Source organism: Homo sapiens, chromosome 3 (assembly GCF_000001405.40).
Source record: "Homo sapiens chromosome 3, GRCh38.p14 Primary Assembly".
Lineage (NCBI taxonomy): Eukaryota > Metazoa > Chordata > Mammalia > Primates > Hominidae > Homo > Homo sapiens.
The window spans coordinates 196,568,585-196,590,929 of record NC_000003.12 but is presented as its reverse complement, the minus strand read 5'-3'; the positions used below and the strand labels follow the sequence as shown (position 1 = coordinate 196,590,929).

Genomic DNA, 22,345 nt, shown 5'->3' with positions numbered 1-22,345 from the left:
TAAGCTCAGCTTAAACATCGCCCCAGGTTAACTATTCCCTCTCCTATGCCACCCTGGACCTCACCTGTAATTTCGTTAAAGCAGTTACCTCAGTTTCACAGTAGTCTGTTTCCACATTTGCTTTCACAGAAGCTTGTCAGCAACTTCGATTTTTCCTTCTCATCTTTCCATCTCTAGTACCTGGTAAAAGCCTGCTAGATAACGGATGTTAGAAAATAATTTGATGAATGATCTTTCCTGCCTTTTTCATTCTGTCTACATTACCAAGTGGATGACTAGTAGCTGGGTGGGCAGGGAGATCCTTCAAAATTTCAGAAGCTCAACTATGGCCATGTAAAACCTAGAGTGGCCTCCGTGACTCCGTCGGCACTGAAGTTCCTGTAGGCTGTGCTCAGAAGGGTGGATTGCGCTGGGCTTTGCCACCAGTCTCTGCTCAGAGCAGTGTCTTTGCTACCAACATGTCTTTTAGCAAAGTAACCATCTGTCCGTGCTATTCTGGGCAATTGGATCATGAACTACATCACTCTTTGGCCTACTGAGGGGTTAGAGATGTCATCAACAACTCTCATTGCAACCTTAAGCCTCCTTTCCTTCCAAGGTGAAGATGACCAACAAGGGGGCACAGATCAATCATATGCTCTTTAAACATGGGTTGGGAATATGAACAAGTTAGCTATATTAAAATAAACAAAGATATCTGGTCTGTTCCCACTACAATATGCCTCTAATGAATCTAACTTGAGACGCTAGAATTTTAATACATTATTTCAGGGAGACTTTCTTAAGGGAGCTATGACCTCAAAACCATTACTTGATTTTATCCCCATTTTATTTATACAGGAAAGGGGGCAGAAATATAACATGGTGTACAAGTATCATATCATATCATAGACAGGACTTGACTTCTCTAATCTTTTCTTAATGTTTTCCTGCCTTAAACAGAAATTAAACACTATCAACAGGGTGACCTAAGGAAACTCCCCAAATGATTCCTACTTCTTGAGCCACTCATCATGAAATCCTACATACAAAAGCTGAATAACAATCTTAAATCTTAAAGGGCTACTTCTTTCAGCAAACTATTATTCTGAAGACTAGAGAACATGTTGCTCTCAACAGTATTTTAGTGAACACATTAAATAAGAAGCAAACAGTTCGAGGGAGGATCCAAAAAAGAAATCAGGACAACAGACTGGTAAAGCTGTCTCTGGCGTCTCTTTCCACTAAACAAAGCGGCAAATACAGAACATTTACACCTATTTTTCTTTTATAAAATTTAAATGCTTTGGGCTGGGCACGGTGGCTCATGCCTGTAATCCCAGCACTTTGGGAGGCCGAGGCACACGGATCACCTGAGGCAGGGGTTGCAATGAGCCGAGAGCACATCAACTGCTCTCCAGCCTGGGTGACAGAGCAAGACTTTGTCTCAAAAAAAAAAAAAAAAAAAAAAAAAAAAAAAAAAAAAAAAAAAAAATTAAAATGCTTTGAACTTTAACATATCAGCCAACTTGTTTAGCAACATCATCAACTGATTCTCTTTTAAGCTTTTGGATCACAGGAGCCGTGTATTCAGCCAGTTCAGGAATAGCATGCCTGTCTCTCATAATTCTTGGCAAACAACTGCATTATCAAACAAATGTCAGCAGGAGGGTGGGGTGGGGGGCGGTAGAGGCAATTGGGAAATAAGACCCTAGTGAATTACTGTTCTCTGTCCACTTTCCATTCTAAACATGGGGAATGTGGATTCTATTATTAAAGCCATGGAATTTATAGGTAAATTCCATCACCACCTCTGGCTATTAAGGCACCCCAATTTTTCTTTCTAACCAATGTGTAAAAAATGTCTTTAAATGTAAGCAATCACAGGTGGTTAATGTTTAACTTTTTATTAAGAAACTAAGGCAAAACAACAGAATTCCAAAAAATAAAGATACAGAATTCTAATTTAAATTCTAAACAAATATAAAAATCAGAGTTTACCAGTATTTTTGAGTAGAGGGGAGTGGCTAAATGCATTCACAGTAATTATTTCTTCCTTACCAGCCTCAAGTTTGCAACCCTTTCCTTCCTGCTTCACTGGGACTAGAACAGAATTTCTCATTCATCTTTTGCTACTATAATTTTTGCTTCTATAGTCTAAAACTTCAGAGGAGCTTTTGTCTTTCTCCGCAGTTCTTTCTCTGTTCCTTCAGCAAATATGTGAGCACCTGCCTATTGGGCTTACATGTTGTGGCACAAAGATGAGTCCGTTAGAGATCCTGTCCCAGTTTAGGGGCGATATGACACCAATAAATAATCAATAAATAATTTTAAACAAGGTATAAATAAATACAGCATGAGTCAACTATAGATATATAAAACTAGGGAAATTTCAAGGAGAGATTACATTCAGCTAGAGAAACTGAGGAATGTTTTTGAGGACAGCATTTGGGCTGGGTGTGGGCTGTTCCTAATAAAGGCTTCCAAGTGGTCCTGATTATCTACCACAGTCCCAATTGTGGAACTGTGGTGGTCTCAATTTCTGGAAAGTAATCTTTTCAATGCTAACCTTTAAAACTCCTTAAATTTCTGGCCTGGCACGGTGGCTCGCGCCTGTAACCCCAGCACTTTGGGAGGCGAGGTGGGTGGTGTTGGCCAGGAGTTCAAGACCAGCCTGGCCAACATGGCATAAACCCCCTCTACTAAAAATACAAAGATTAGGCCCGGGAACAGTGGCTCATGCCTGTAATCCCAGCACTTTGGGAGGCTGAGGTGGGTGGATCACAAGGTCAGGAGTTCGAGACCAGCCTGGCCAACATGGTGAAACCCCGTCTCTATTAAAAATACAAAAATTAGCCAGGCATGGTGGCAGGTGCCTGTAATCCCAGCTACTCGGGAGACTGAGGCAGGAGAATCACTTGAACCCGGGAGGCAAAGGTTGCAGTGAACTGAGATCACACCACCGCACTCCAGCCTGGGCAACAGAGCAAGACTCCGTCTAAAAGAAAAAAGAAAAAAATTAGCCAGGTGTGGTGGCACATGCTACTCGGGAGGCTGAGGCACGAGAATTGCTTGAACCTGGGTGGCAAAGGTTGCAGTGAGTCAAGATCGTGCACTCCAGCCTGCGTGACTCTGTCTCCAAAAAAGAAACACACACACCACTCCCTAAGTTTCTATCTCTTCAAATTACTCACTTCTTCAAAATAACAAAAAAAAATTAATATTAATATGACAATCTACATAGTTTGGGGATTTAAAAGTTAAAGCTGGGTATAGTGGCATACACCTGTAATCCCAGCTACTTGGGAGGCTGAGGCAGGAAGACTGCTTGAGCCCAGGAGTTCAAGACCTGCCTAGGCAGTAGAGTGAAACCCTGTCTCCAAAAACAAACAAAAGTTCATTATACAGTAGTAGTTTCTTTATGGTTTAGGGCTCTGCTATTTTTGAAACTCTTTCTCCAGTCAAATAATTCTAAAAGGCAGAAAATGCCTAATCACTGAACAATGATTTTAAATATTAACTGGGTAAATCTTACTTTCTTTTGGTGTCTTATTGAATCCATATCTACACTTTATGTGAATGAGGGAGATGAAATAAATGGCTTAACATTTAAGTCAAATAATGAGAAAATAATGGCAACTATGAAATGACATTAACCACAAATTCCTTGTATGAAAAGATTTAATGAATTATGAGCCATTGATCATTACAAACTTTAAGCCTTAATATTTCTTCTTTCCTATGTAAAACCAGGTAATTAAAACAGCCTGTCTCAGTATGACAGAAGACCATAGTAGGGATAATAGTAACGTCTGCTTCCACATCTGCATGCTTCGTTAACCAACCAAAGAAAGTGCTCCAGGTTTCCCAAGTCAACAAAGTATACTCAGTTACACTTTCCCTGATCATACTATGAATTGAAACAGAACACTCCTTTGACTTTTAATAGCACTTTTCATCCACGGCACAAGCACTTTCCCATTATTTTCTCCTTTACCCTCAATATCCTTGTGAGGTAGTGAAGGGAGGGAGCAAGGATTTTTTTTTTTCTATTTTGCAGATGAGAAAACTCAAGGTGAATTTTACAACAGTGGTTCTCAACCTTGGCAGCATATTGAAATGACCAGAAAGTTTTTAAAAATCCTTATGACCAGCTCATATTCCAGACCAACATCAGAATCTTGGCATACGGAACCCAAGCATCGATGTGTCTTCCAACATTCCAAAGTGACTACAAAGTGTATACAGCCAACACTGAGAACCACTGGTTTGAATGATTTACACTCAATCTTCAGGCGCAACTGTCTTCTACCGAAATGCTCTCCTCAGCACCAATGACAAAGATATTCCATCTCCTTGAGCACTGCAGCAGTTTAAGATTTTGTAGAGCTACTACTGGGTTTTAGTGACAAATTTACGTAAATGAAGGCCCTCATGACCCAGATGCTCATGCTGCTCACTTCAATTGCATATGATTTGCGAATGGGACATTCGGGAATTTAAATCTTTGAGATAAGAATGGCTTGTTGTTAAATATTGAGGCAATTATTTCATTCTAGGTCCAATACGCAATAACCATGTGTTTCGGTTTTCCACTCAGCACCTTCAAAACTGTTGCAAATGAATGTTTACTAACAAGACAAAAGAGACAATTATAAACCAAACTCTCAACAAAATTCGGAATGGCCACATCACAACCTGAAAAAGAAACAAGTACTTAAAGGACTTGATCACTTCCTAACAAGTCCATCTTCAACCTGAACCACTTCTCTTGTTTAATCAAATTTTAAACTTTGCCGAACTGAGTTGTTCTACACCAAGAAAAATCAATTTCTATACCACCTACATTCTCTAATACATTTAACATATAATTTCACTCAATACAAGGAGGTTTCTTCTTAACCTGGACATCGAAAAGAATCTTTAACAGATTTCATCTTTTCAAGCAATGTATCAAATACACAATAAATACTTGTAAACTTTTCAGGTGGCAACAATAAATCTTTGTTCTATGGCTGAAATCCCTTGCTTCACAGGAGTATTGACAATCTTAACTCCCAAGGAGCAATCCAAGAATCCCGGCCAGCTGCTGGGTGTCCCTAATCAGATTTAAAACAAAACATACATACAGCAAGAACTCAGAAGTACAAAGATTTCGCTCGCTTTTGTCAATTCTTATGTATCTAAAACCATACAATTTATACTTTCATACAGAAAGATGTCTGTTTCTTTTCTAACAAAAGAAAAACTCTCAGCTCATGTGGGTTGGATTATTAATTCAAAAGCATTTTAGTGATGAGAAACAAGATTTGTAAGTCAAAATAGGAGTTAATGTTAAACTCTTCTACAACGAAACCTTCAAATATTGCCAACCTGAAGTTTTCAGCACAAGGTGTTGTATTTCAAGTCCCATGGGGGCAATTATCTATAATGAGATTAAGAATATTCTTAACCTGTTTCAGCTGGGTAAGTAAACGTTTTCTTTATAGCCCCAATAACGAGTTTGAGGCTTAGATTAGTTGCATGATGTAAACAATATGAAATTAAAATTTTTTTGATAATATCTACAGCATTTATAAGGTTACAAAATAAAAGGACCATTAATCAATTCTTTTTTTCCTAGGCTCTATGACTAATAGCTTTCATATTTGAGGCCTACAAGAGCAAATGGCAATGTTCTGTGTTATGAGACACTTTCTTAGAAGGCCAAAAATAAAACTGGATACCAAAAGATACACATTACTATTATGTTGAGATCATCCTTACTGATATATGTATAATTAGAAATAGATTTGCCTTCCTTCAATCTTTAGCCAGGAGACTGAGAGATCTTTACTATGATTTTGAGAGTAAAAACAAAAACAAACCAGACTCTAACAGCTATGGGAACTGTAAGCCAAAAATAATACAAAATGAGTCAATACAACACATCTCCTCTTAAAATCCTCTTCTTTGTAGTTAACCCAGTTGTCCCCAAATGTTATTCCAATTTTGTAACCATGTAGTGGTTTTTAAGAAATTAGAACTAGAACAAAACAACCTGTTTGTCCTTTCTTTTTTACAGTTTTTTTTTTTTACACACATATTATATACAACTTTTAAAATAGCTGCACAATTTTATATCTCACTTTTAGAGAAGTGCAGTCCAGGCAGACCATGCTTCTCAATATATTAAAAATATTAAATAAAACCCAACCAGTTTCATACTTTTCTAATAGTCAAGCTGGCTGGAAAAAAAAGGACTGGAGAAAGAACAGGCAGTTGTAAAATGGGATCAGTCTTCACAAACACACTACTTAAAAATCTTGCTATTTCCTTATCCCTTTGACAGCATCTCTACAATCTCACCTTTAAAGCTGGAAATAACACATTGCTAACTTAGAGACAACATCGGGTGCAACATGCATATGTCAACTGCCCACTCAACCAACTGCAACCCTGAGGATTTTTCTGGCCCAGTAGAAAGAGGAAACACGAAGATAATCTCTGCTGTAGAGCTGCTTCTCCAGTTTACGACTTCATGTGTTTTCAGGATGTTTCTTGGACATGCATGTGTGACAGTCACTTCATGGTTCTACTTCCCATAAGCAGATCTCTCCTCCATTCTGTCTGTCATCACAAGAAAGCCACTGTCATCCGTCCAAAGGTTTTCCAAGGTAAACCAAAGTCACTTCTGTGTTGCCATATACAGCAGAAACTGCTGGGTATAAGCAGACCTTTGGAAGTCCTCTAAAAGCAACCCCCAGGAACTCATATCCACGTTCAAAAGCTAAAGTCTTATCTTCCATGTCCAAGATGACTCGAATTCTTTCTCCTATCTGCAAACAGATATCAAAAGGTTAGAAGAAAATCTGCCAAGGGTGTAGCTAGAAGAAACAAGACACAAATCAAGAAGTTGAAAATATTAAGAATATTATCCTGAAAGCTATCTAGAAAAATCAGAAGGGAAGCTTTCTAGTCAGGAAGAAACATCTATAAAAAAAGGACATACATCTGGCCGGGCATAGTGGCTCATGCCTATAATCCCAGCACTTTGGGAGGCTGAGGCGGGCGGATTGCTTGAGCCCAGGAGTTCAAGACCAGCCTGGGCAACATGGTGAAAACCCATCTCTATTAAAAATACAAAAATTAGCTGGGTGTGGTGGCGCAAAGCTGGTATCGCACCACTGCCCACTGCACTCCAGCCTAGGTAACACATCACAAATGCTTACTTTGATAGTTTTGTTTTTAAGACTCACATGGAATCTACACTTAATTACTTACAATTTAAATGTTCCACCTGAACACTACCTAGATTGATTTTATTTACTCTTTGTTTAAAGGTTTTTCTTAAGGTTAACACTAAAATCTATAACTTGGCATATTTTACCAAAAAGAGCAATCTAAATCAGCTTCTCAAATTACTATACTATACATACAACGGAACTTTTTTTTTTTTTTTTTTTGAGACGGAGTCTTGCTCTGTCGCCCAGGCTGGAGTGCAGTGGTGCAATCTCAGCTCACTGCAAGCTCCGCCTCCCGGGTTCATGCCATTCTCCTGCCTCAGCCTCCCCAGTAGCTGGGACTACAGGTGCCCGCCACCACGCCCGGCTAATTTTTTGTATTTTTAGTAGAGACGGGTTTCACCGTGTTAGCCAGGATGGTCTCCATCTCCTGACCTCGTGATCCACCTGCCTCAGCCTCCCAAAGTGCTGGGATTACAGGCATGAGCCATCGCGCCCGGCCGTACAATGGAATATTATTCAGCCATAAACAGAAATGAAATTTTGATATATGCTACAACATAGATAGACCCTGAAAATATTATGCTAAGTGAAATGAGCCAGACACAAAAGGCTAAATGGTATGATTCCACCTATATAAAGTATCTAGAATACTCAAATATATATAGTTGTAGAGCAGAGTTTACCAGGGGTGGGGAGTGAAGGAAATAGGGAATGAACATAATAGAGATTATGTTGGGGTGAGGAAAAAGTTTTGGGTATAGAGAGAGGTGTGTGAATGTATTTAATGCCACTGAATTGTATACTTACAAATGGTTAAAATAATAAATATGTATGTTTCACCACAATTTTAAAAATCACCTTAGTAAGACACACAGCTTTTAAAGTTTACAAAGCAGTTCCACATGTAATGTGGAATCATGAATAATCCAATCTGGCTACAAATTCTAATGTAGAATATAGAATAGGCTTATTAAACAATTTGTGGTTCACAACTCTGAAACACCTGTTTGTTATAAAAAACAGCAGCACTGATTATTAAACGAAACTGGAAGCAGAATATATCCAGTTTTTTCCCATTTGGAAAAGTAAGCAAAAAAAAAAAAAGGATGTTTCATCTTTTTAGTTTGCCTTTATAAAAAGATGTTGCATCTACAAAATTGGAAACAGAAAGTCCTAATGTTTGCAATCAAAATTTAATTCTACCTGATTATAACCCCTACTATTGTCATTTACTTTCCTTCACTGTATTTCCTGTTAACAGTAACTGCCAACATCTGCTTTTTTCCTCCCTTTGCCCACCTCACAGATTAACCCACACCTCATTTTATGGATCTAAGAACCTCCAAATCATCATCACCACCACTCCTACCAACAAAATATTAACAAAGTAGAAATGAAAAGCTAATTTTGTTGGGTATTTGTGTTGTGTCGTATTTGTATTATCCCATTTAATCCTCACACTAATCCTAGGAACTATCCCTATTTTACAGAAGTTGAAACTAAGTAACGATTACTCCTGGTGAAATCTGCAAATCTGCTTCACCTTTGAGCACACAGCACGCACAAAGCCCAGGGTGGAGAAAGCGAAGTCTTACCATCTTTAGGTGCTGGGGTAAAACGTGGGGAGATGGCAGAGCAACTGGAAACTTAGAGGAGGAACTCCAGAAGCAACAGAACCACAGAAAGGATGAACCCCAAAATCTGAGAATTAACTTCCCAAATCCCTGAGTGACCACTATATTACAAAGGCACAGGGTAAACCTCCAGGACTAAAAAAGCAGCAAAGCTGAAAAAACTGAGCAGACATTAGCTGCCACACATCACATGAGACAGAGTTTATAGTTTGAGTATAGGCAAGTTAACTGCCTACTAAAACAAGAAAACCTATACTTTTCAGAGAATAAAGCAGTTTCTAGAAACAAAACATTCAGGAGTTACTACTACATATTATCTACACATCTAGGTTTCAGTTAAAAAAATTACTAGATATGAAAAGAAACAGGAAAGCGTGATTCATATTTAGGGGAAAAAAGCAATCAACAGAAGCTGAATCCAAGTGGTCCTAAGTGTTGGATTTGGTAAAGACTTCAAAGCAGCTGTTATGAATATGTCCAAAGATTTTTTTACAAATATAGTATAAGTAAATAAATAAGGAATCTCGAAAAGGAAATTTACTCTAAAAAAGAACCAGGCCCAGTGTGGTGGCTCACGCCTGTAATCCCAGTACTTTCACTTTGGGAGGCCGAGGCGGGCGGATCACGAGGTCAAGAGATCGAGACCATCCTGGCCAACATGGTGAAACCTCATCTCTACTAAAAATACAAAAATTAGCTGGGCATGGTGGCACACACCTGTAGTCCCAGCTACTCAGGAGGCTGAGGCAGAAGAATCACTTGAACCCGGGAGTCGGTGGCTGCAGTGAGCCCAGATCGTGCCACTGCACTCCAGCCTGACGACAGAGTGAGACTGTCTCAAAAAAAAAAAAAAAAAAAAAAAAAAAAGGAAAAAGAAAAAAAAGGAAATTCTAAAGCTGAAGTGTACAATAAGCAAAATTTACTAGCCCAGTTCAATAGCAGAGGTGAGATGGCAAAAGAAAAAAATTTATAACCTTGAAGACAGAACAGAAATTATCTAATTTAGGTCAAGCCCAGTGGTTCATGCCTATAATCCCAGCACTTTGGGAGACTGAGGCAGGCAGCTGCTTGAGCTCAGGAGTTTGAAACCAGCCTGGGCAAAATGGCAAAACCCTGTCTCTACAAAAAATACAAATATTAGCCAGGCATTGGTGGGGAGCACCTGTAGTCCCAGCTACTCTGGAGGCTGAGGTGGGATGATCACTTGAGCCTGGGAGGCAGAGGTTTCAGTGAGCCAAGATCATCACGCCACTGCACCACTGCACCACTCCAGCCGAGGTGTCAGAGCGAGACCCTATCTCAAAAAAAAAAAGGAAAAGAAATTATCTAATGCAAAGATTAGAGAGAAACAAGGTTGGGGGAAAAAACAAGAACATAGTTTTAGAGGCAGAGATAAGGACAACATCAAGCAATCCAACACTTACATTAAAGGTAAATGAACTAAACACTTAAAAGTCAGAGACCGAAGCTGGGCGCAGTGGCTCACAACCTGTAATCCCAGCAACTGGGAGGCCAAGGCAGGTGGATCACTTGAGGTTGGGAGTTCGAGACCAGCCTGACCAACATGGAGAAACCCCGTCTCGCCAGGCATGGTGGCTCATGCCTGTAATCCGAGCACTTTGGGAGGCTGAGGCAGGCGGATCACGAGGTCAGGAGTTCGAGACCAGCCTGGCCAACGTGGTGAAACCCCGTCTCTACTAAAAATACAAAAATTAGCTGGGTGTGGTGGCGCATGCCTGTAATCCCAGCTACCCAAGAGGCTGAGGTAGGAGAACTGCTTGAACCGGGACCCGGGAGGCAGAGGTTGCGGTGAGCTGAGATCATGCCATTGCACTCCAGCATGGGCAACAAGAGTGAAACTCTGTCTCAAAAGGAGAAAAAAAAAAAAAAGAAACCCCTTCTCTACTAAAAAAATATAAAATTAAATTAGCCGGGCGTGGTTTAGAGGCGCATGCCTCTAATCCCAGCTACTCGGGAGGCTGAGGCAGGAGAATCACTTGAACCTGGGAGGTGGAGGTTGCGGTGAGCCGAGATTGCGCCATTGCACTTCCAGCCTGGGCAACAAGAGTAAAACTCCGTCTCAAAAAAAAAAAGTCAGAGACAGAGACTGGGTTAGATAAAAATCAAGATCCAACTATGTGCTGTGTAGGAGCTCCACTTTAAATACAAAGACAGATTGACAGAGGATTACTAGAGTCAAAGGAAGTCATTTCATAATAAAAGAATAAATCAGGCAGGGAGATAAAACAATTAGAAATGTATATGCACCAGTAGTAACAGAGCTCCAAAATACATGAAGCAAACACTGAGAGAACTAAAAGAAGAAAGACAAATTAGCAAGGATAGATGGAGATTTCAATACTCCTCTTAGTAAATAATAGAAGGGTAGAAAAAAATCAGTAACACTATGTAAGACTTGAACATTATCAATCGACTTTGCCTAATTCTCATTTACAGAATATTCCATTCAGCAAAAGAATATACATTTTTTCAAGCACACATGGGACACTCATCCAGACAGACCACATATTAGAATAAAACAAATCTCAATAAATTTAAAAGGACTAAAACCATAGAGCATGTTCTCTGAAAAACAGACTTAAGGACTTTCACTTACAAAATCATTACAAGGGTGGCGACAGGACTTCGTTTTTAGTGATAAAGTCTACACACCCTTCTCCTTATAGTATCCGCAGAGCCTAAAAGGATAGTGAGGAAACATTCCATGAAAAAAATCCTTCCAGCTTTTATACCTCAGAAAATGGGATGTATTTTTGGTTCTTCTGCTTTAGTATGCCTGACTTGAGGTCATTACTGAGGCTGGAACTTTCACGCCACAGGTGGCTCTGAAATATGCAATCTATAGTTCTTTAAAGACTTCCAATTTCTTATCAGATTATTGTATATTACACCCTGTTAAGTCTGTAGTAATAAATACGGCTTTTACAAATAGGAACTATAATTTTAACTTGAGTCAAATGAGTATGCCTTAAGCCTAAGATGAAAAGAATAAAAAATACAGCAGTTTGCCTGAATTTGCCTGTCTCTGCAGAACTCACTGATGCCTCCAGGGGCTTTGAATCCACAAACATGTGCATGCACAGAGCTGTATTTACTGGGGTAAGGAGCCTAGAAAAAGATTTGGATGTGCCGTGATACAGGAAAGATGACCATCTAGAGCAGGGGTATTCAATCCTTTGGCTTCCCTGGGCCACACTGGAAGAATTGTTTTGGGCCACACATAAAATACACTAACACTAAAGATAGCTAATCAGCTTTAAAAAAAAAAATTGCAAAAAAATCTCATAATGTTTTAAGAAAGTTTATGAATTTGCATTGGGTCACAATCAAAGCCATCTTGGGCTGCATGCAGGCTGTGGGTTGGACAAGCTTGATATAGAGCATGAACTGGCAAACTACAGCCCCTGGACCAAATCTGTCCTGCAGCCCATAAATAAGGTCTATGGAATACAGCCATGTTCGTTCATTTACGTATTATCGATGACTGCTTTTGTACTATAAATAGAGTTGAAACTCGTGATAGATCCTTACCTTGAAAATGACATTAAAAAAAAAAAGTTGTGACAGAGACCATATGGACTGCAAAGACTTAAAGATTTACTACGTGGCCCTTACAAAAAGTTTGCCAACCCCTGATCTGGAGCAAAAATAGGCTGCTTAAAGTTGTATTAGGAAACAAATATTGAGATAGATCATTTATACATTTATTTAAAAATGGTCAAAAAATCTCCTTGAGGCTGGGCATGGTGGCTCACGCCTGTAATCCCAGCACTTTGGGAGGCCAAGGCAGGTGAATCACGAGGTTAGGAGTTCAAGACCAGCCTGGCCAAGATGGTGAAACCCTGTCTCTACTAAAAATACAAAAATTAGCCAGGCATGGTGGTGGGCGCCTGTAATCCCAACTACTGAGGCTGAGGCAGAGAATTGCTTGAACCTGGGAGGTGCAGGTTGCAGTGAGCCGAGTTGGCGCCACTGCACTCTAGCCTGGGCAACGGAGTGAGATTCTGTCTAAAAAAAAAAAAAGAATATTTTTCTGCATAGCCAAAATCAAAATATAACACCCAACAAAATTAACTATAACCCCCTAACATTAAAAAAAAAAAATCTCCTTGAAGTCTGGGTATCTGAAAAAATAAAAAAATAATAAAAATAAAAATTACCAAAAAGACAAAAACTGCTATATAAAAATTTGTAAATTTAAAACAAATTAAGGCGTGATTTGACAAAGGCCCATACTTGAGAAAAACCCCAGTTTCTCACCTGATATTTTGGTGCGTTGTTGCACTGTGGAAAACTGCCATTGACTTCTCCATTATGTAGTAGATTATTGTCCACCAGATTCCAGCCCCAGCTCTGGTCATCACTGCCCAGCAATGCCACATAACCTTGGCACTGCATGGGGGCCCGTTTTGTGGCAATTCCAATCACTGCCACAGTGCCCAGAGGGCCCTCCCACCACACTTCCCATGCATGGCGGCCCTCACTGAAACCAATCTTGGTCCTTGCACCATCAGTGCTCTGAGCAATGGGGTTTCGATGTAAAGTAAAGCCATTCTTCTTAATGTAGACATTCCTGGAGCAGTCATTAGTGCTGAAGGCATGTTGAAAAGCACGTATCTAAAAAGATGAAAAACAGACCAAATAAATAACAATTTTATTTTTCTTAAATATTAAAAATTACCCAAACTTCACGCTGTATGTTTTTAAATAACGAAGTTATATATTTTAAAATAACACAAGTATTTCCAAATAATGGCTGAAGTTTCAGGATGGAATACTAACAGAATAAATAACATTAAAAAATAAATGCCAACCGTTTCATCACTGACCAAAATTTTAAATTGTAGTATTTCCTCAAACAGACTTCTTAAAACATCAAAAGATACAAAAAAGAAAAATCCTTATATCTTACAGATAATACTGAAACGTTTATGGATAAAATAATGGTATCTGGGAATTGCTTTGAAATATCCAGAGATGGAGTGGGAGAGTGTGCAATAGAAACATGAAACTAGACTGGCCATAAATTAATCATTGGCAAAGCTTGGTGATGGGTATAAGGAAGTTCATCAAACTATTTTCTCTACTTTTGTTTATATTTGATATTTTTATACCAAAAAGTTGAGATGTACAGTTTTCATATGGGCAATGCTGTCATCAAAAAGAATTATATTTTACATAAAACAGAAACTTTAATCCTAGCAGCTCTAAAGTTTATGAAAAATTTTAGTAAACACAAACTACCTTAGATCCTCAGCCTACTTGCTGGATATGACTTACACAATAAAAAAATCACCAATCTCATTTTACCAAATCAAATAATCCCTTAGATAGCATCTAGGTTCAACTACTAGAATTTATGAAGAGAAGCTATCAATAAGACAAGTTAGTTGACTCTTCAGTAAATACAAAGGTTTACACTTCCAAAATAAAGAGGGTATGAAAATAGCTCTTCTATACAAACAATAACAATTTCTCATAAACAATTTTAAACTTTTAGTTTGTGTATTTTAAATTTTTTTTAGACAACGTCTCACTCTGTCACCCAGACTGCAGTGCAGTGGCACAATCGTAGCGCACTGCAGCCTTGAACTCCTTGGCTCAAGTGATACTCCCATCTCAGTCTTCCGAGTAGCTGGGGTTACAGGTTCGAGTCACTACGCCTGCCTGGCTAGTATGTTTTTAAAAAATCCCTTCTCTACTTTAGTCAAACTACCCAAAGCAGTGGAAGGCTGGGACCTATGCTTCAGCTAACCTGAGAAAAATCAACTCCAGAGGCATAGAATGTCAGCATTTAGGAAGACCCTTAAAGGTCACCTAGTCCTTCTCAGGGATTTCAACCGCGAGTTAGTGCAAGAGGCCCAAAGAGAGATCAAGGATCCAGTCCCCTCACCACCTGTTCGTTTACCATTCGCTGGCACTCTACCGTTTCAGTGAGCTGCAGAGCGCAGATTTAAAAACAGAGAACTATTTGTTTCCAGTATCCCATGCATTCACAATAAAACTGAGGCATTCCCAATGTTTTTCCTATCTGCTCGTATTATAAAATACTTTAAGGCACTTATAAGACCAAAACGTAAGATTCAATGAAGGGGCCGGGCGCGGTGGCTCACCCCTGCAATCCCAGCACTTTGGGAAGGCAAGGTGGGCAAATCGCCTGAACTCGGAGTTCAAGACTAGCCTGGGCAACATGGCGAAACCCCAACTCTAGTAAAAATACAAAAAATTAGCTGGGCGTGGCAGTGCACGCTTGTAATCCCAGCTACTTGGGAGGCTGAGGCAGAAGGAATGCTTGAGCCCAGGAGGCAGAGGATGCAGTGAGCCAAAATCACACCACTGCACTCCAGCCTGGGTGACAAAGTGAGACCCTGTCTCAAAAAAAAAAAAAGAAACAAAGAAAAGAAAGGAAAAGAAGATTAAATGGGGAAGGAACATGTCCCCAAAATAGCAAATACTGTCTAAATAACTCAAGAGAATAATATCAATAATTCACTATAAAATATTTAATTAATATTTCCCTATGCCTACTCCCCAATTCTTATAAATTCCAATTTCACATTGACACTATTGACAACCTCTTCCTTAAACTTCCTTTTCTTTTTTTTTTTTTTTGAGACAGAGTCTCACTCTGTCACCCAAGCTGGAGTGCAGTGGCTCAATCTCAGCTCACTGCAACCTCTGCCTCCTGGGTTCAAGCGATTCTCCTGTCTCAGCCTCCCCCGAGTAGCTGGGATTACAGACGTGCACCACCACACCCGGCTAATTTTTGAATTTTGAATAGAGACAGGGTTTCACCATGTTGGCCAGGCTGGTCTCAAACTCCTGACCTCAGGTGATCCGCCTGCCTTGGCCTCCGCAAGTGCTGGGATTACAGGCGTGAGCCACCACGCCCGGCCCTCTCTTCCTCAAACTTCTATGACATCTTCCTATTTCCCTGAACTGATCCTGTATCATTTCCTTTTTTGGTGACCACCCTTCCTCTGCCCCAACCAAATTCTCCAAACTCAGTCCTCAACTCTCTATCTGAATTATTTCCAAACCTGTCTTTCTAAAACAGCACCTTTACTACATATCTCATCCCAGTTCTATAACCTCTGGTAGTTCCATACTTAGTAGCATCACCAACTGCAAATTCTTCTGCCTGGCTTTCACAGCCCTCCAAATCTGATTCTTCCTATTTCCCTTTCTACCTTGATGATGTTCTTCTTGCTGAAAGTATTATATGTGCTTTCTTCTCCCACACATTCTCTAAGATCACCTCTATTAAGCTATTCTTAACCAGGGCCACCCAATTCCCTTGATGTCTCTCTCTGCCGGGTGCTTGCCCACCACTTTCTGTGCCACGTAACAATTTAGCAGCTCTTATTTTCTAACACACTTTTAACCACTGAGTCTAGTACAAAATAACTTGCAAAAAAAATCTAATCTAATCTAAATTGATCACACCTCAGTAGGAAATAGAGGACAGAAGAACATGTCAAGCAACACGATGATAATGAAATCCGCAAAATCGAGCTGAGAGTAAACCACCTTGTTTCCTCAACAAATAAGGTGGGAGGTTGGGGAGATGGTGAGTGAATATGTAGACTAAAATAGCCTTAAGAGACATATCAACCTTTGCCATGGGACCCTTATATAGATCTTGATTATATAAAATATAACTTTAAAATGCAACATTTAACATTTATGAGACAACTGGCAATTTGAACACTGCATTTTTGATATTAAGGAATTAATGTACATTTATATTTAGATGTGATAACCATATTGTGATTACATTAAGTGTCTTTACTTTTTAGAAACAGATACTGGAAACTTCATATGAAATGGGAAAATAGGCCGGGCATGGTGGCTCACACCTATAATCCCAGCACTTCAGGAGGCCGAGGCAGGCGGATCACGAGGTCAAGAAATCGAGACCGTCCTGGCCAACATGGTGAAAGCCTGTCTCTACTAAAAATACAAAAATTAGCTGGACGTAGTGGCAGGCTCCTGTAATCCAAGCTACTTGGGAGGCTGAGGCAGAATCACTTGAACCCAGGAAGCAGAGGTTGCAGTGAGCTGAAATTGTGCCACTGCGCTCCAGCCTGGGCAACAGAGCAAGACTCTGTCTCAAAAAAAAAAAAAAAAAGGAAAATAAAGACCAAATTAATAAATTAAAAACAACCCATAGCCTCACATTCCCATGCACAACCTGAATTTTGTTATGGCAAAAGCAGCATGAAGACCTAGCTTAAAATCTAAGTCTGAACTTTAGAGAATTCTCATCAGATGCCAAGTATGACTTAAATAATTAATGCTACGGGGTGATATGTAAAATATGAACTTAAAAAAAAAACAACTGAACAGATTAATAAACTCCACTTTCCTGTTCTATGCTATCCCTAAACCTTTTCCTATCATTCTCTGTTATCCAGGCTCCTGGGAAAATCCATTTGACACATCCATCTTCCTCATCCCATTCACCCAGTCAGCTGTCTACCTATGTATATTGTTTTCTACGACAGCTCTCCAGCCATCCCCTTCTCTCCTCGATGTACCTGTTCCAGTCTTAAGTATCTCTGGTATAGGCACTAACCGCTGCCCTCTCCAACTCATCTATGGCCTAGTCTTTTTGAAGTAGAGCCTTTGTCACTCTGCTGTTCAAACTTCTATGGTTTACAACTGTAGTACAAAACCCAAACTATAGACTGAAGGCTATATTTCAAAGCCCTCCATGATATATCTAGTCCCATAATATAGCTTTATAATATTTCCCACTACTTCCTTTCATTCAATCTAACTATATTATTTTATATCTTTAGCGCAGATCTCTCCTCTAAGCTCCAACCTCCAACAGCTGCCTATTGGAAATCTCTGTCTCAAAAATACTGTAAATGCTGCTCTCCCAAAACTGAACTCACTGCCATTTCTTCGAAACCTAGCCCACCAGCCTGGGCAACATAATGAGACATCTCTACAAAAAAAAATAATAATAAAAATTAGCTGGGCATGGTGGCACATGCCTGTAGTCCCAGCCACACAGAAGGCTGAAGTGGGAGGATCGCTTGAGCCCAGGAGTTCAAGGCTGCAGTGAGCTATGATCATTCCACTGCACTCCAGCCAGGGCAACAGAGCAAGACCTCATCTCAAAAAAAAAATCTAGATCAACTGATCTCTACATTATGTGAGCCAAATACTAGGAGTCATCCTTACCACTTCCCTCTTCCTCATCCCTATTTCAAATCTATTGCCAATTCTATAGATTTTACTTACTAAATCTGCCCATTTCTATCTCCTCCACTACCTATTTCCTAATTGATCTACCATATTTCTAAGGTCCTCTTCCAACCAACAATTTAGTTCTCCATACTAAAGTCAGAAATAATCTCTTAAAATGCAAAATAATCATATCACCAATCCCCACACCTCAAATCCTTCTTGCTTACAACTCAAAATGGCTTCCCTACGCTTTGGTCCCAGTCCACTTCTTCCATCTTATCTCAAACCAGCATCACCTTTGCTCTCTGTGCTCCAGCCACATTGACATATTTTCCATCCCTCACACTCATAAGGTTCCCTCCTGGAAGGCTGTTCTCTCTCCCCTTTGCCTACTTATCATCCTTCAGGTCTCAGTACATGGATCTGAGAAAGCCTTCCCTCACCTCTCCACCAGGTTAAATCCTCCACTACTGACAATCAGAGCACTAGGTATTTTTCCTTCATACTACTTACCAGATGCGGTTTTACATCTGTGTGATTATTTGATTAATATCCATTTCCCCTACTAGACTGTAAGCTCCATAAGGCAAGACATCCATTAAGAGACTGTGTTTGTTTTATTTGCCATTGCATCTGCAAATGAGCATAGTGCCTGGCACTCATTTTTTTAAATAAAAATATATGTTGTACAAACCCTTTACTTTCCTCTTGTCCTGCTTCTGCTCAGAGTACTTCCTCTTCCTAAAATACTAAACTCCTCCTCATCTTTAAAATTCAGCTCAAATATAAGCTCAACCTCAAATCTCCTCCAATCCTCCACTCAGTTTGTAAATTCCTCCTTTCACTGAACTTCTAGTATACTTTTTTATGTCTGTAACAGTAAGGAGCAATTTCTACCACACATTAGCAGTTCTTTCTATACATTTTTCTCTCCTCTACTAGACTGAAAGATTTCCTACTAGACTATTTGACTCCTTTTGAATTAATCTTTTATCCTCAAAATATTCAAGGGAAGTCCTACAATGTGTGAATGAACAGTGATTGGTACAAGTCTACAACATCTATAATGCACATAGCAGAAAAGCAAAGTATTAAAAACCTCAGAAACCTAAAATATCTCTGGAAGGATACAAAAGAAAAAGTAAGACAGGTTGCATACATGGAGAGGAACCGGGTAGCTGAGCGACAAGGATGAAAGGAAAACATTTTGCTTGATATCATTTTGCTTCTATTGAAGCTTGACTCACACGAACACATTATCTATTACATATTATAATATGAATCTTGAATCATGTGAACATTTCTATTACAAGTCAATTATCAAAACAACAACTCCTAATTTAGGCTGGGTGCAGTGGCTAATGCCTGTAACCCCAGCACTTTGGGAGGCTGAGGCAAGAAGATCGCTTGAGTCCAGGAGTTTGAGACCAGCTTAGGCAACAAGGTGAGACCCCGTGTCTCTAAAAAATAAAAAATTAGCCAGTGTGGTGGCACATGACTGAAGTGCCAGCTACTCGGGAGGCTAAGCTAAGGAGGATCCCTTGAGCTCAGGAGGTCGAGGATGCAGTGAGCTATGATTGTGCCACTGCACTGCAGCCTGGGCGACAGAGTTTTGTTGTTTTGTTGTCTCAAAAACAACAACAAAAACTCCTAGTTTAAAATAAGTAAAAACAATAAACTTTACAGAAAAATAAAAACTAAATAAAATTTATGAAACCGACACATTTATCAAAGTAGGACAAAATTCCAATCGTCTGTACTCACCTATATAAATTACAACCAGTATCCACTGAATAGCCACCACGCACAAACAGTCCTAGTAAATTATTGTTATTTCGCTTAATAGAAAAACAACTTGAGGCCGGGCGCATGAGCTCACGCCTGTAATCCCAGCACTTTGGGAGGCCAAGGCGACGGATCACGAGGTCAGGAGATTGAGACCATGCTGGTTAACACGGTGAAACCCTGTCTCTACTGAAAGTACAAAAAATTAGCCGGGCGTGGTGGCGGGCGCCTGTAATCCCAGCTACTCAGGAGGCTGAGGCAGGAGAATGGCGTGAACCCGGGAGGCGGAGGTTGCAGTGAGCTGAGATCCCGCCACTGCACTCCAGCCTGGGTGACAGAGCGAGACTCCGTCTCAAAAAAAAAAAAAAAAAGAAAAAAGAAAAGAGAAACAACTTGATAGTTTACATATTTAATGGCAATGTTCCCTATCTTCTATAACTAAAACCGGTTTTACTACATAAGTATAAATTTTACATGCTTCACATGAAAAAAAAATTTTTACTTCTTACTCCGACCCCTGTTGGCAAGCTAGCATTAAAAAGGGGGTGTTATCGCGCGGTGGCTCACGCCTCTAATCCCAGCACTCTGGGAGGCCGAGGAGGGCGGATCACCTGAGGTCGGGAGTTCGAGGCCAGCCTAACCAACAAGAAGAAACCACAACTCTACTAAAAATACAAAATTAGCCGGGCATGGTGGCGCATGCCTGTAATCCCAGCTACTCGGGAGGCTGAGGCAAGACAATTGCTTGAACCTGGAAGGCGGAGGTTGCGGTGAGCCGAGATCACGCCATTGCACTCCGTCTCAAAAAAAAAAAAAAAGGGGGGGATGTTATCGTTTTAGTTACTAATGCATTCATTATGTTTAACACATTGCAATCAGACTTTATCTTCTCTTATATATGATCTTGATTGACTGCTATACTGAATAGCTGTTAACCATTCAACTCAACTCAAGACCAAGACCCTTTGTTTATTCGGCCTGAGAGTCCTTTCAGCCGTACCACAACTTGTTCCTTGACATTTTTATTTTGTATATGAAGGCGGGCGGAATATGCAGGAAGGATGCAGCGAAACTGTAATCAGCACGTTAGATGACAAATAGAAAAAGAGAGACACCATCAATGTGGAACTATTAAAAAGTTAGCAAGGAAACAGCCAATAACAGCAGGACAAAGCAGTATGTTAGGTGGTGCCCGTGGACGTTCTATAAAAGCCTGTATCTTGTAAGTGAGCAGGATGACTAGAACTACACTCACTTGTAAGCCTCCAATATAGTGGAGGGAACTAAAGAGAACTTGGGGGAAAATAATGAAAACAAATGGTTAAAAATCAGAGCTTGGAAAAGATGAGATAAACGTGGAGTGAAAGCAAACTAGAAACTTAGAAACTTAGAAACTAAGCCCATGTTAAGGTGGCCGGGATTATTTAATATAATGAAGTCTATCTGGAGGCCGGGGAGAAAAGTAGGATGAGGGCATTAAAAGGTACAAGAGTGGTGGTCTGTCTTTAACGGGGAAAACTGTCAAAAGTTGAATGAGTGAGGCAAACTACCTAGTTGTTTGAAAAGTGGATCACGGAAGTGGGATGGGTTAAGGAGCAGAACTTCGATCCAAAGAAAAGAGAATCTTTATCTTGGGGGGAGGTGAGGAAGATACTGACTGGAGCCGTGGAAAGGCGGGCTGGTGAGGCGAAGCTTCTGACTCAGAAGCTCGGATGAGAAACACCGCGAACGACGCCGGGGAGCGGGACTGGGGGCAGCGGTGTGGCCCGGGGCTCTCTCACCTTGGCCTTGTAGCTGGGCAGGTTGCACAGGATGTCCGTGCGCAGAGCCTCTTCTGCCAGGCTGCGGGCGCACAGGCTCCGCCACACCTCGCTGTTCTCATCGCCGTGCAGGCAGCGGTACCAGTGCTTGCACACCAGGGCGCAGCTCCGCAGCTCGGACAGCTCCAGGTAAGAGAACACCAACTCCAGCACCCGGCTGGGCAGCCGGCCCCCGGCCCCCGCGGCCCCAGAGCCCGAGCCCGCGCCCGCGCCCGCGCCGCCGCCGCTACAGCCAGCGCCGCCCGAGGCTGCCCCAGCCCCCGGGGCCGGCGCCGCCATCGCCTCACCAGCCGGCCCTAGGGCCGCCGCTGCCGCCGCCGCTTCCCGCCGTCTCTGCTCGGAAGGCCAAGCCTCGCCCGGAGACCGGAGCGGCTCGCTCACCGCCCCTGTCAGTGCCAACCGCCGGCGCCTCCACCACTCCCGCCCCTGCCCGGGGGCGTCCGCCGCGCGCCCCGCCTCACTGAGGGCAGACGCACCGGCTGCAGGGGCGTCCTCCGCCCCTCCTCCGCGGCTCAGCGCGGGCGCCGAAACCGCCCGACTCGCCCGGCCTCTCCGCGGCGCGCCAGCGGCTCCGCCATGCGGGTTGAGGGCACGAAGCAAGGGCGCACGCCCAGCTCGTTCGCGGTTCCTCTCGGCCCCGGATGTGACTGTTTGGCTGCGCCGCCTCACGCCTGACGCT

The 22,345-nt window shown here is 41.2% G+C and overlaps 1 protein-coding gene across 1 annotated transcript, besides 4 other annotated features; it reads right to left on the bottom strand.

Moving 5' to 3' along the window:
- Positions 1-1,870: 1,870 nt before the first annotated feature.
- FBXO45 (F-box protein 45) lies at positions 1,871-22,270 on the bottom strand. Its single transcript, NM_001105573.2, has 3 exons — positions 21,628-22,270; positions 13,121-13,477; positions 1,871-6,797 (listed from the first exon to the last, which is right to left on the bottom strand). The coding sequence occupies exons 1-3, from the start codon at positions 21,943-21,945 to the stop codon at positions 6,612-6,614; spliced, it is 861 nt and encodes a 286-aa protein (NP_001099043.1). The 5' UTR covers positions 21,946-22,270; the 3' UTR covers positions 1,871-6,611.
- Positions 19,921-20,468: an enhancer, noted in NCBI's record as "H3K4me1 hESC enhancer chr3:196297333-196297880 (GRCh37/hg19 assembly coordinates)". NCBI's record gives its function as "activates a minimal SCP1, AML or CMV promoter by ChIP-STARR-seq in primed H9 embryonic stem cells {active_cell/tissue: H9 hESC(primed)}" and the evidence as "EXISTENCE:reporter gene assay evidence [ECO:0000049][PMID:30033119]".
- Positions 20,469-21,017: an enhancer, noted in NCBI's record as "H3K4me1 hESC enhancer chr3:196296784-196297332 (GRCh37/hg19 assembly coordinates)". NCBI's record gives its function as "activates a minimal SCP1, AML or CMV promoter by ChIP-STARR-seq in naive H9 embryonic stem cells {active_cell/tissue: H9 hESC(naive)}" and the evidence as "EXISTENCE:reporter gene assay evidence [ECO:0000049][PMID:30033119]".
- Positions 21,358-21,652: a silencer, noted in NCBI's record as "tiled region #4041; K562 Repressive DNase matched - State 2:TssF". NCBI's record gives its function as "represses a minimal TATA promoter and a strong SV40 promoter by Sharpr-MPRA in K562 cells {active_cell/tissue: K562}" and the evidence as "EXISTENCE:reporter gene assay evidence [ECO:0000049][PMID:27701403]".
- Positions 21,774-22,313: a silencer, noted in NCBI's record as "silent region_15067". NCBI's record gives its function as "represses an Ori minimal core promoter by ATAC-STARR-seq in GM12878 lymphoblastoid cells {active_cell/tissue: GM12878}" and the evidence as "EXISTENCE:reporter gene assay evidence [ECO:0000049][PMID:35858748]".

Bases quoted from the DNA above. Each gene is read 5' to 3' on its own strand.
- FBXO45 (NM_001105573.2), bottom strand. From the start codon at position 21,945: ATGGCGGCGCCGGCCCCGGGGGCTGGGGCAGCCTCGGGCGGCGCTGGC. The intron at 13,478-21,627 runs GTGAGAGAGCCC...TCATCTTTTTAG, and splicing joins TGCCCAGCTACAAGGCCAAG to ATACGTGCTTTTCAACATGC. The intron at 6,798-13,120 runs GTGAGAAACTGG...ATCTGTTTGCAG, and splicing joins ACAACGCACCAAAATATCAG to ATAGGAGAAAGAATTCGAGT.